Below are 14,654 nucleotides of genomic sequence, written 5' to 3' on the forward strand. Positions count from 1 at the left end.
GCCTGGTTTCACTTCCACTCCATCCCATACCCAGGATTATTTTGAAGCAAATCCCAGGCTTGGCATCATTTCATCTGTAAATATTTCAGATGGTATCTCTAAAAGATAGGGACTCTTTTTTAAAAAAAGAATGCTGGGCTGGACTGAGCTAGTTACCTCCTGCTATTGTGGAGGCAACTCACTTCATCCCAACTTCTTGATACTTTTGCTTCTGGAAGTCATATTTCTCTAACATCTTCCAGAAAAGTCTTAAAGCTGCCTTAACCTTTTTTCCAGTCCACCTCTTAAATTTTTTCCCCCTCTTCCTCAATACTAACATGAGTGTGGATCTGGCTTGTCTGCAAAGCTTGCCTTGCTTCGAAGCATCCGACTGTAAAGAATCTTAACCTATGGCTGTGATTTGTGGGCCTGAAGAAAACTATCCATCCTTGCAAATGTCTTCTGCTGAGATGCCTCACACGGAGACTGTCTCTCCTCTTCTTCCTCCATGGATCTGCTTATTCAGGACAGCCCTGATTCTTCCACCAGTCCCAAAGGCAAACAACCCATTGCTGCAGAGAATAATGCCCCAAAAAAGGGAGACGAGGTCCCAGTCAAGAAACAGAAGACCAGAACTGTGTTTTCTTCCACCCAGCTGTGTGTACTCAATGATAGATTTCAGAGACAGAAATACCTTAGCCTCCAGCAGATGCAAGAACTCTCCAATATCTGGAACCTCAGCTACAAACAGGTGAAGACCTGGTTCTAGAACCAGAGAATGAAATCTAAGAGGTGGCAGAAAAACAACTGGCCGAAGAATAGCAATGGTGTGACTCGGAAGGCCTCAGCACCTACCTACCCCAGCCACTACTCTTCCTACCACCAGGGATGACTGGTGACCTGACTGGGAACCTTCCAATGTGGAGCAACCAGACCTGGAACAATTCATCCTGGAGCAACCAGACCCAGAACATCTAGTGCTGGAGCAACCACTCCTGGAACACTCAGACCTGGTGCACCCAGTCCTGGAACAATCAGGCCTGGAACAGTCCCTTCTATAACTGTGGAGAGGAATCTCTGCAGTCCTGCATGCAGTTCCAGCCAAATTCACCTTCCAGTGACTTGGAGGCTGCCTTGGAAGCTGCAGGGGAAGGCCTTAATGTAATAAGCAAATGACTAGGTATTTTAGTACTCCACAAACCATGGATTTATTCCTAAACTACTCCACGAACACGCAACCTGAAGATGTGTGAAGATGAGTGAAATTGATATTACTCAGTTTCACTCTGGGTAGTGGCTGAATCCTTCCTCTCCCCTCCTCCCCTCCCTGATAGGATTTTTCTTGTATGGAAACCATGTGTTCTGGCTTCCATTATGCCTATCCAGTCAATTTGATGGAGGATACAGTATGGTTGGAGCCTAATCAGAGAGGTTTCTTTCTTTTTTTCCTATTGGATCTTCCGGAGAAAAGACGTTTTAATAACCTTGGCTACTAAGGACAACATGATAGAAGCTGTCTCTGGCTATAGATAAGTAGATCTAATACTAGTTTGAATATCTTCAGGGTTTAGAATCTAACCTCAAGAATAAGAAATACAAGTACAAATTTGTGTGATGAAGGCATATTCCTATTTTTTGGGATTGGGAGGCTTTACTTATTTTTTAAAAACTATTGAGGTAAAGGGTTAAGCTGTAATATACTTCATTGATTTCCTCACCTTTTTTGGTTCTGTTTTACTATATCCCCTAATTTTTTGGTGATGCTAATCTTTGTAGAAGGAGGTCTTGTATTTACTGCATCATGATGACATTAGTACTCCTTTAGTTGGTTTAAGTACAAATGAATGAAACAACTATTTTTCCTTTAGTTGATTTTACCCTGATTTCACCTAGTGTTTCAATGAGTAAAAATACAGCTTAAACATTAAAAAAAAGAATACTGCATTACTGTAATCTTTGTGCATACATTCACACAAGCAATAATTGCGCTTTTTAGTCTGATCAGCAGTGTCTTTATTCATTAGTCTCAGAAGGGAAACACAAGTGACCTTAATGAAATGAAGCCGTGGTCATGCTTTCTCCTTCCTGATTCCAAAGATGGTGTTTCTGGATGCTGCTAAAGCCCCCTGGTAAATAAATACTTTCTCATCTCCAGAAATGAGTCAATTCGATCCGATTTCCCTTTTTAGACTTCCATTTATGCTCAAATATGGCCTCTTTTTCTGTGGCTCTTGAGTAATTATCAGTAAACACCTAGAGTAAGGCCCTAGGTCTTAGTCATCACGGTACCACCCCAGTGACTTAGCATGGTTACTGGCACCCAGCAGCATCCCTCACATTTTGTTAATGTTTTACCTCTTTTCCTATGCAGGAGCTGGAGTACCCTCTCCCTAGTCCTCTGGCCCGTCATTCCCTTTTATCCATATGTTATAACCTCATTAAAGTCTGACTTTTCTAGGAAACCTCGTTTCTACCAGGATGGATGCCTTTGTGGATCAGTATTGACGCTTTGACAGGAGGCTTCAAGTTAATCTCAACTCTTACAGAATTCCTTCTATTCCATGAATTTATTATCCTCAGTCAATACTGTAATGCTCATCTTCTTGTGGTGTCTTTCCTAATCTTCACCAACAGTTTATTGGCCAGAAACTAATTGATAGGGGCTACGTTACTGAAAACTTCGTCATTTCTGAAGATGATTAATAGTCCTAATTTCAGGCGGAGGTAGGGACATATTTTTACACTTGAATATATGTTATGTAAGAATCCACCATTGAATGCCTCTTACTTAATCACCCAAATATTTTATCTATGAAACTTGGCAGGGAGATGGCAATATCCTGAACCTTATTTTTCTCATTGTTTCTCTTTCCTCTTTCTCATCTCTCTTTCATAAAACGTGAGTGCAGAGTGGATGCCAGCCACCATGCTTGGCTTTGAGGACATAAATAGATACGTAGCAGTCCATTTGTAACTCTTTATTCGGTCTGTTCTCAGTGGACTGTCACTCCAGGAAGGGAGGGGCCCTTGGGTCACCAGCTACTAGCAGAGACACTGCCACACCAGAACTTCTTGGAAACTTTTTTTTGGATGAATGACTGAGTAAATGGAGACATGAACTTCACTGTAAAGGAGTTCACAGTCCAAAGTTTGAGAGTGAATCTGGACTCTGTGAAACTCTGCAGAACTTGTGAAGTCATTAACAATTAAATATTTTAGTTCAAACTCTTCCCTTAAATTATTACCCAGTCTGAGATTTTTGTGCCGTTTCATAGATGCCAGCAGAAGTTCTGCACGGGGAGTCTTACAGTGGCACAGGTACAGCCCTTAGACAGAAAAGAAGCCTGAGGCCGTCCTCTGCATTCACTGTCCATTTTTCCCAGAGTATGTGGTCCTAGCTACTTGAGGCACTCCCAACTTCTCATTCTTTCGACTTCTGTAAATGTCACAGTCTTGGGAGGCCTCCCAGAGGTCCCAATTAAGGGTCTTATTTAGCCTGGAGCCAGAACTGTAGTTGTAACTCCTTAATGCCAGGAAAGCATTTTTTAAAATCAGCACACTCACCTAAGTCTGTTTCCTAAGGTGTTTTCTTCTATCTGAGTTACAATTTTATGTTCTGTGCCAGGAATCATTTACTTCTGGTTCAATAGGAATTAAAAGTACTTGTTGCTATGTCATTCCAGGGCAAGGATTTGCTTCTGCTTGGAAGTTAGGTCTTTAGTGTGTGAGTATATGTGAGTGTATGTGTATGTCATTGTGGGATGTTGCACATAAGTGTATGTCTGTGTAATAAGGCAGATTCAATTTCTCAGGGAAAGAAAATGTTCCAAGGACCATAACCTATGGGACAAAGCGTTAGCTACTATCTTTTCTTTTGGCTTTAAATTATGCACTCTTCTTCCTTAAGTGACTGATTCTGAATATGAACGCGTTCTTTTAAAGAGTGGAAATGATATCATTTAACATTTAAATATTAAATCTTATTATGTAAGCCAATTTCTTAAAATCCCCAGGTGGAGTTTGTAACTACGCCTAAGTAATTCTCCAGGTGTAATGACTGGCAAGCTGTCGAGTAGAAATGGCAGAGAAGCAGCTATTGTTGGGAGAGGCTGGAACTTCTTTGTTTTTAGTATACATTTTAGTTGCTGAAAGAGTCCTTGTAGATTTTCCTCAAAATTAAAAAAGCCAGAGGAAGAGGAAATTACAATTAATAGCCTGGAAATTCCAATTAATCTCTCAAATAGTGATTAATTTCCAGAGACATGGAGACTCTGCAGTATATCTGGGAGGAAGGAAAAGACAATTAGGGTTGGGGAAATTGGTAGAGGCGCTTGGGTAGGTGGAAATCCCACCAGGATTGAAGACTGCACTAGGATTGAGATAATTGACAAGGTTGGAAGCTTGCCAAAAACTGTATCAAGTGCTGTCTCTTCCTAATGGGCAAGTGTGCCCATTTTGAAACCCACTGGCCATATTTCCTAAAACTGTCTATTATCACTTTGTGGAAATGTTCAAATAAGATCTGTTATCAAATTACATTTCTTTCTTTGTCACTTTTTAGCTTATCATTCCGCCAAGGTTTTGGCCCCTGCCCTTCTTCCTGCTTCTTGCCTCCTTGAGGCTGAGCTCTTCTCTCTCCCCAGCCTCTCAGTGAGCTGGTTCAGGTCTGTGTTGGTTTCAGATAACGGATGCTTTAAATTTAAGGTAGTGGAAACCGCTGATCTAGCCTGGAAATCACAAGGACCAATTGATTTATCAATTTTTCTTCTATAAAGGTAAAATAATACCATGGCAATTTTTTAGTGCAGATTATTGAGGCTCAGATGAATCAGAACGAAGGGGAAATTAACCGGCTATACTTATGAAATGCGAATGCTATGTTTGCATTGTTGGATGGATTCAGTCTTAAGCAGTTTGGAACTTATTTGTATGTACCTGAGGTTTTAACTACATGGTAATGAAGATGGTGTTAAGCTTTTACAGGAGCACGGCTTTTGATCTGCTCTTTCTCCCCAGTGTACTAACAGTACTTATTAGGAGGAAAAACCTCCAGAGAGTCAGAATAAATATCATAGTCCTTTGAACATCTAAATATATGCAGCATTTTACAGAAATAATGTAAGCGAACTAACCGTTTGTGGTCAGCTGGAAAACTTAACTTTCAGAGGGATTTGACCAGCTATACTGACCTAGAAAATGAAATAAGCAGTTTGGAAAATCTGGTTTGTGCATATAATTATTTTTATATTATCTCAGGCTGTGCCTTGCAATGAGTAAACCACGGTAGTTATCTGACCTATTGCTCTACCACTGCCATTGCTTCAACACAGTAATTATGTAAGACTCAGCATGTTTTTAACTAACTAAATGCATGCAGGACATTCCTTAGCTTCAGCAGCCTATCTGGAGACTACTCAAGGGCTCTTTATCAGTCTTTCAGTTTGAATGGAAAAGAGACTGTAAAATCATGACCTGCGTTAAAATGTGTAGACTGGGAGGGCCATTGTGGAAATATTTAATACAAGCACTTGGCACTTTTGTTAGCTGAAAATGCCCTGAAAGTTTATGACGTATCAAATATTTCTAATTAAAATAGAAAATTAATCTTCATGATGAAAGAATCCTAACAGCGCTTTTTATATGAATACAAATATTTAGTTGGGATATAGGTTATAGAATGTCTTTAAGGCCCTGAAGTCCTTTGGATTTACTGTTTTTCATTCTAGTTCTTCCTTTAATAGCTCGGAGCAAATAAAAGTGATTTCCTTTAGAATGTGCACATGCTCCTAAGGATATCTGAATAAAAGATACGTATCTGATAATTTGCCATCTCAGCATCATCCCTTGGGCAGCAGGTTGGAAGGCAATAGTTTAATCTGAATGTGAACTAATGCTTATGCGCAAAGACATGTATGTCTCTTCCTGGATTTGAAGGAACTGAGAGTAGAGCAGTTTAACCAGGATTCCCTAGATGGCTTATCATCCTGATGAGCTAGCATTGCAATCAGAAGACATTCACTTTTGCTTAAAACATGAAATTGACTGGTAGAGTTCAGATATTAATAAAACTAGTTTTAGCCTGTAGTTTTAACCCTTTTCATCTTACATTTAAGAAAAAAAAGACACTTAAAAGGAAACAATGAATTGGAACTAATTACAAAGCTCTAAAGGGCCCTGGGTGATGTTAGTCTCATTAGGGATTGTGATGTCCCCTCCCACCCATCTCCCACCCCCTTCCACCCCCTCACTCGCCAGCATGACTCTCTTTCCTTCTTACCTGTAACCATAAATACCAGACAGCCAAAGTCATGCCTCGTGAAGGTAGGCATGTGGAGTGGTGGAATCATACAATATCTGTGTTAAAAGGTTATATCCTAGTAAGATAAGCGTTTGGACTGTAAACTAGTTCAATCATTGTGGAAGTCAGTGTGGCGATTCCTCAGGGATCTAGAACTGGAAATACCATTTGACCCAGCCATCCCATTACTGGGTATATACCCAAAAGATTATAAATCATGCTGCTATAAAGACACATGCACACGTATGTTTATAGCGGCACTATTCACAATAGCAAAGACTTGGAACCAACGTAAATGTCCAACAACGATAGACTGGATTAAGAAAATGTGGCATATATACACCATGGAATACTATGCAGCCATAAAAAATGATGAGCTCATGTCCTTTGTAGGGACATGGATGAAACTGGAAACCATCATTCTCAGCAAACTATCACAAGGACAAAAAACCAAACACCGCATGTTCTCACTCATAGGTGGGAATTGAACAATGAGAACACATGGACACAGGAAGGGGAACATCACACACCAGGGACTGTTGTGGGGTGGGGGGAGAGGAGAGGGATAGCATTAGGAGATATACCTAATGCTAAATGACGAGTTAATGGGTGCAGCACACCAGCATGGCACATGTATACATATGTAACAAACCTGCATGTTGTGCACATGTACCCTAGAACTTAAAGTATAATAATAATATAATTTAAAAAAAAATAGAAGGAAAAAAAAAGTTAGGTTCTAATACAGACAAGAAGTTTAGGCTGTTTTAAATGTGGGCAGGCTCTGTCGGAGACTGATGCAGTGCGTATTATAAATCCTGAATCACGAGGAATGGGTTTTGAAACCGCAGTGGCCCAGGCCACATTCAGACCTGAAAAAGTCGACTCTCCTAGAGCCAAGGCCAAATTATACTCATGTGTAGTCAAGGTAATGAAAGAAACACTCACCGTTTCCCACCACTGTGTAGGAAGCTGCTTAGAAACGTTTTTAGGAAAGGTTAAAATTACTAATTTAAAGAGGACTGAAATAAGTCAAAGGTGTATTTTACAATCTTTAGGGTAATCATTAAAATAATAATATAAGAAGCTCAATTAAAATGCTAATAAGGGAGAAAAAATATTTTTAAAAACACTTGAATGACTAAAAAGAAAGTGAAAAGAAGAAATACAGGAACAAAGAATAGGTGTGATAAATGGAAAACAAATTAAGATGGTAGGCTTATAAGAAACTATATCAGTAAATGTATCAAATATAAGTGGTTTCAACATTCCTATTAAAAGATTGCCAGACTGGATACAGATAACCAATTGTAGTAAGTTTAAATCTAGTAGGTTTTAAGATACTTTACTAAGTTTAAAATTTAAGATATACTATGTAGACTGAGAAAGATTGAAAGTAAAATGTTAGAAATATATATACCATGCATAAATTAACTAAAAGCTATAACCATATTAATATCAGGCAAAGTAGACTTTAATGCAAAAATTATCATGAGAGATAAAGAGGGATATTTGTTAATGATAAAAGGAAGTTGGCTGGGCGCCGTGGCTCATGCCTGTAATCCCAGCACTTTAGGAGGCGAGGTGGGCGGATCACCACGTCAGGAGATGGAGACCATCCTGGCTAACACAGTGAAACCCTGTCTCTACTAAAAATACAAAAAATTAGCTGGGCGTGGTGGCACACGCCTATAGTCCCAGCTACTCGGGAGGCTGAGGCAGGAGAATCACTTGAACCCAGGAGGCGGAGGTTGCAGTGAGCTGAGATTGCGCCATTGCACCTCAGCCTGGGTGACAGAGCAAGACTCTGTCTCAAAAAAATAAAAAAATTTAAAAAAAAAGGAAAAGTTGAAAATAAATGATTCAAACCTCCAACTCCAGAATCTAGAAAATAATCAGCAAATTAAACCCAAAGATGGTAATTGCTTGAACCGGGGAGGCAGAGGTTGCAGTGAGCCAAGATCATGCCACTGTACTCCAGCCTGGGCCACAGAGGGAGACCCTGTCTTAAAAAAAAAAAAGAGAGAGAGAGAGAGAGAGAAAGCCAAAATAAGCAGTAATTATAGAAGTAGGAAACGATATATAATATTTGAAAATTAACAAAAACAACTGGGGCTTTTTTTGACAAGATTAATATAATTGATACATCTCTAGCAAACCAATCAAGGAAAAAAGAAGAGAAAATACAATGAATTTCAGAAAAAAACAAGGGGATCACCACTATATGTCATAGAGATCAAAAAGATAAGATACTATGATCAATTTTATGTCAATAAATTTGACAACTTAGAGAAAATCAACAACTTTCTTTAAAAACACAACTTACCAAAACAGACATAAGAAGAAATTTAAAATCTGAAAAATCCTAAATTTATTATTTAAATTGAAGCGACAATTAAATGCCTTCCCCTAAATTTAATTTCAGACCAATATTGCTTTAGCAATAAATTCTTCCAAATGTTTATGGAAGAAATAATGCCAGTGTTACACAAACTCTTATAGAAAATAGAAAAAGATAAAACATTTCTTAAATCATGTGTGAAATCAGCCTAACCTAAGTCTGACAAGAACTTACTAGTAAAGAAAACCACCACCCAGTATCTTTCATGAATCTTAAAATATTTGATTAGCAAATCAAGTTCAGGGATATGTAAAAGAATATGTCATGATCAGATGGGATTTATTCCAGGAATCCATGGTTGATTTAACATTTAAAAACCAATCAAAGCCTCGTTAAAAGAATCAAAGAGGAAAATTATGTAATTATTTCAGTAGAGAAGACTAATTTGATTCCGCACTTGGTTATAATAAAAATTCTCAACAAACTAATAGAAGGGAATTTCTTTGATGTTATATAACTGCATACTTAATGATAAAGTAATAAATGATTTCTCCGAGTTTGGGAACAAGAAAAGATCACCAATTGGCAATTCTAGCCAATGCAATAAGCCAAGAAAAAATTGTCATGAAGGTTGAGAAGAACGAAGTAAACTGTTTTCCACAAATGATGTAATTATATACATAGAAAATATAAAATTATTGAAAATAATGTGACTTTAACAAGAATGCTGGATGCAAGGTCAGTGTAAAAAAAATCAAGTCTCTTTATACTAGCAATAAATAATTCAAAAATGAAATTTTAAACCATAATTTATAGTAACGTTAAAAAATCAAGTACCTAGTAGTAAATCTTTTTTTTTCCTTCAACTTTTGTTTTAAGTTCCGGGATGTATGTGTAGGATGTGCAGGTTTGTTACATAGGTAAACATGTGCCATGGTGGTTTGCTACACAGATCAACCCACCACCTAGGTATTAAGCCCAGTATTCATTAGCTGTTCTTCCTGATGCTCTCCCTTCCTCGACCCCCAACAGACCCCAGTGTGTTGTTCCCCACATATGGCAATGTGTTCTCATTGTTCAGCTCCTATTTAAAAGTGAGAACATGGGATGTTTGGTTTTCTGTTCCTGCATTCGTTTGCTGAGGAAAACAGCTTCCAGCTCCATTCATGTCCCTGCAGAGGACATGATCTCATTCCTTTTTATGGCTGCATAGTATTCCATGGTGTATACATACTACATTTTCTTTATCCAGTCTATCATTGATGGGCATTTGGGTTGATTCCATGTCTTTGCTGTTGTGAATAGTGCTGCAGTGAACATACGCATGCATGTATCTTTATCATAGAATGATTTATATTCTTTTGGACATATACCCAGTAATGGAATTGCTGGGTCAAATGGTATTTCTGCTTCTAGATCTTTAAAATCAATGTGCAAAAATTGCTTGCATTTCTATACACAAATAACAGGCAAACAGAGAGCCAAATCAGGAAGGATCTCCCATTCACAATTGCTACAAAAAGAATAAAATACCTAGGAATACAGCTAACAAGGGAAGTGAAGGACCTCTTCAAGGAGAACTACAAACCACTGCTCAAGGAAATCAGAGAGGACACAAACAAATGGAAAAAGATTACATGCTCATGGATAGCAAGAATCAATATCGTGAAAATGACCATACTGCCCAAAGTAATTTATAGATTCAATGCTATTCCCATTAAGCTACCATTGACTTTCTTCACAGAATTAGAAAAAATATTTAAAAATTAATATGGAGCCCAAAAAAGAGCCTGAATAGCCAAGACAATCCTAAGCAAAAAGAACAAAGTGGGAGGCATCATGCTACCTGACTTCAAACTATACTACAAGGCTACAGTAACCAAAACAGCACAGACACACAGAGCAATGGAATGGAATAGAGAACTCAGAAATAAGAAACAGTAAATCCAATGAGAGATGTTCAAAACCTTCACCGTGAAAACTGCAAAATATATTGAGAAAAACTGAAGATTATTTAAATAAATGGAGTGATATAATCATGTGCCTGGATTAGAGGATTGTAAAGATAGTTTCCCCTAATTTGATTAATAGATTCAATGCAATCCCAATAAAAATCAGTTAATTTTTGTGAAAATTATCAGGCTGGTTCAAAAATTTAAGTGGAAATACAAAACACCAAGAATAACTGAAGCAATACTAACTAAAGAAGAAAAAACATGGAGAACTTATGTTGTTAGATATTGACTTATTATAAAGCTGCAATAATTAAGATAGTATGATATTGGCTCAAGGATACATGAATAGAGCAAAGGAATAGAATAGAGTTCAGCAGTAATGGTTACAGATATATGCATATCTGACAAAGTACTTGTATCCAGAATATATCAAGAATCTTACACAGCAGTTGGAAAAGTACACTCAACCCAATTAAAATTTGGGCAAAATACTTGAAAAAGCTTTCAGAGAAGAGAATATCACAGTTTACTGTAAACATAAAAAGATGCTCAACACTATTAGTCATGAGAGAAATGCAAATAAAAATAACAATGATATATCACCACCCACCCACCAGAATTGCTAACATGTAAAAGACTGACAATGTCAAGCTATTATCACAGATTTTTGGTGACTTGGAGAAAATAATTCACTCTGTCCACTCTGTCCTTATGGTTCAAACCCTATATGATCAGGTCTTCTTCCAATTTTTGGCAGTGGCATCCCAAACCCCTCTCATTTAGTCTTGCCTTGTGTCCACAGCCTTCTCATACCATCCAGGTAGATGTAGCTAATATACTCAGGTCTTCCAATGAAACACTAATTATCACCACTCCCCATATCAATCACTATGCTGACTTCATAGCTGTAAATTAATTTTGCCTGTTTTTGAATTTTATATGCATGGAATCATATAAGATTTACTTATGTACACTTTCATATTTGGGTTATTTTACTCAACATCCATATGTTGAGATTTATCTATATATTATGTCTACCTGTGGTTCATTCTTTTTTATTGCTGTAGGGGATTCCAATTTCTATAAATTTAATTGTATACACTTAGTAATTCTGTGATTGATAGACTCTTGGGTTGCTTCCAAGTTGGGATTATTACAAAAAATATTGCTATGAATATTCTTATATATGCACATATGCACAGATTTCTGTTATATACACATGGAATTGCTAGGTCATGAGGTACATATAATATATTCAGCTTTACACAATACTGCTCAGCAGGTTTCTAAAGTGCTTTCACTAGTTTGCCCTTCCACCAGCAGTGAACAAAAATTTTAGTTGCGATGTATTGACACCATACCCATGCACCATTTCTTATTGACTTAAAACTCTTAAAATTCTTTTGACTTGGCTCTCTAAAACCCTATAGGCAGTAAAATTCAAATCTTTTCTATTTCAAGAACAGGAAGACTTTCATCAAGGGAAAGGTGGGCCAGACTGTTGAAAACACTGCAGGAGTAGCAGCAGCAAATGAACATGGCGGGAAGGACTGTCACAGCTGATGTTCTAAAATTGGAACATTCTAAGGGCTACTTCTGAAACACGAACAATTAGGTGGGATTGCTGTCCAAATTAAGAAGCCCTTACTTCTTAATCATTAATATAGTTCCTTTTTCCTCCAGAAATGTTCCAATTATGAAAAATTATGAAACAGTTTGTGATTAAGTGATACTCTGTGTAAACACAGTAAATATAACTGAAAAGGATAGACTTTTAGGCCATGGTCAGATACTGTTAAATTTTAGTTAAGTTATATTCATAACTAAGTAACATTAAGTTATAGTGAGAAGGAACTTCACAGTACAAACATTTTTTTCTATGTGTGTTGAATGCTCCGAGCTTATTTCTAAATCCTGCTTGGTTTAAGGAAAGATTACAGGAGAGAAATTCAGAAGCTAAAGGTTCAGGAGCCATTTCTGCCATTACTAACTGTGTGACCCTAGTCACTTAATATCTTTGTCTCAGTTTTAAATATCTGCAGAAATTATGGAATGTTATATCTTCTCTGTTTACCAAAGAGATTATTGTGAGGAACAATTGAAATGGCCTATAACAGCTAATCCATATGGGGATAAAGTTAAAGAATTCTCCACCATGTTTTCATTTCTATATTTAAAATAATCTTATAGTTGCTAAAGTGCTATTCAAACATGTTATATTTTTTCATATGTTAAATCACAAGATAATCTTATTTGTTATATGCCTTATGCCATAAACAGAGCCCAGCATAGTGCTGTCTGTATTTTTCTCATTGTTCTTTACCTTAGTAGAAAGGAATGGAGAGAATGATTCATAATGAGTAAAACACATATCATCTCCGGAGAGAGAAAATAAGGATAAAGGCAGATTTCCATTCAGGAGAATTTATCTGGGCTTTGGAAGTAATTTAAAATGACTGTTCCCTGTGTTGGCAATTTGTAGCCTGCCTGAGTTGACACCTCCATTTTCAATCACAGCAAGATTGCTTTTAGTTGCAGGCAATTGCTAAAGCCAGAGATCTGAAAAGGAGCCCTTTTCAAACTCCTTATAGATTTAAAACAGATAGAATATGAATGTAATTTTTTCTCCTGATTGTCATCAAATACTTCACGAATAATTTAAATTAATCCATAATTTGTCTAAATCAAGAGGAGGAAAGCATGGCCTAATCATAACATTGTTGTGTTGTACCTGGACATAGAGAATTAGCCTGGAAAGATTTGTTGCTACCAAATCTGCAAACTTTATTATAGAGTAGTTGTTTGGGCTCATATATATGTACGGACTCTAAAAGAAACAATAGCAAACAATATCATATACAGTGATGAAGTTCCCAGATCAGCCCACCAAAACCAATATATGAAAAACTGTGTGCAAATGTGTGTGCCTGAGTGCCTTCTGACTATCCATTTCAACAGAGATGTGTATATGCATGTTTAGAGCATTATCTCCAAATATTTGTTTTGCAAAACTGAGTTTGATTGTATAGGACATTAGTGCTGTAGTTTAGCATCGCTCTTCGTTTCCTATCCTGGTTTTACAGGATATGGAAAACCTAATCCAGAAGTAGAGCAAAGCTGATAATCCTTGCTACCTTATGAAGGTGCAAGGAGACTGGAGCTAATCACCTGCTGTGAGCACTTTGAGACCCTTTTTTGAGGAATCACCACTAATCACACTGGAAAAGATGCCTTGCCTCACGTTGAGGGGACAGTTACTATTGAAAGGGTGTTAGTCACTGAGCATTACTGTAGTTAAAACATTATTCTGAGACATGTCCTACAAGGCATGGGATTAGGCGTTTATTAATAAAACTCCCCAAATGGTATTTGCAATGTGTCATTCTACTTGAGAACATAAATAGGATAGAATTAAACTAACACAGAAAGATTACTTATCTTATAATTAAGAACATTGTACAAGAATGAATTTTGAATTTATAACAATTTCTGGGCTGGCAAGGGAGACGTATTAAATAACCTTTCTTCTTAAAAAATATCTTTTGAGACATAAATTCTCTGTGGGGAAAAAACACAGAACAATGAGCTGTCTTTTCTCAATTGATTGCCTGTAGTGTTACAAATACTTTGAAAAATGAAGGGAAATTTAACATTTTAAAATGATCTTTCAGAAATCTATTATTATGAGCGGGGAAAAATGAACAAAAGTCCTTAAGTATTTAGGCTTTTTGAAAACTTCCATTATGTAAACTAGGTAATACTGGGGATAGCCAAGCCCACAGAGTACAGCAGCATGAAACACAAACAAGAGTCACTGATTTTTTATAGTCAGCTGAAAAACAGCACATCTAATTTTTTTTAAATAGAAAAATAAACAATATTTCCTGCCATGAAGACAGTTACTGTCTTAGTTCCATCTTGGAAACGTCACAGAGCTTTATCCTATTTATTTTCAGTGCACAGTAACCACCAGCATCAGTTTGAGTCTGTGTATTTTAAGAGCATGGCTAAAATGTCATATGCTGTTACATATATAGCAACGTAGGGAGTGGAACACTCACTCAATATAAAAAAATCAAAA

General features: G+C 37.1%; 1 protein-coding gene and 1 pseudogene across 9 annotated transcripts in view; both read left to right on the forward strand.

Annotated features, from left to right (window-relative positions):
• CHN2 (chimerin 2) overlaps nucleotides 1–14,654 on the forward strand; it is a 367,738-nt gene that overhangs the window by 65,393 nt on the left and 287,691 nt on the right. The window lies entirely within an intron of this gene.
• On the forward strand, nucleotides 130–1,904 carry NANOGP4 (Nanog homeobox pseudogene 4; annotated as a pseudogene).

The sequence above is a fragment of the Homo sapiens genome, chromosome 7 (genome assembly GCF_000001405.40).
Source record: "Homo sapiens chromosome 7, GRCh38.p14 Primary Assembly".
In the NCBI taxonomy this organism is placed as follows: domain Eukaryota; kingdom Metazoa; phylum Chordata; class Mammalia; order Primates; family Hominidae; genus Homo; species Homo sapiens.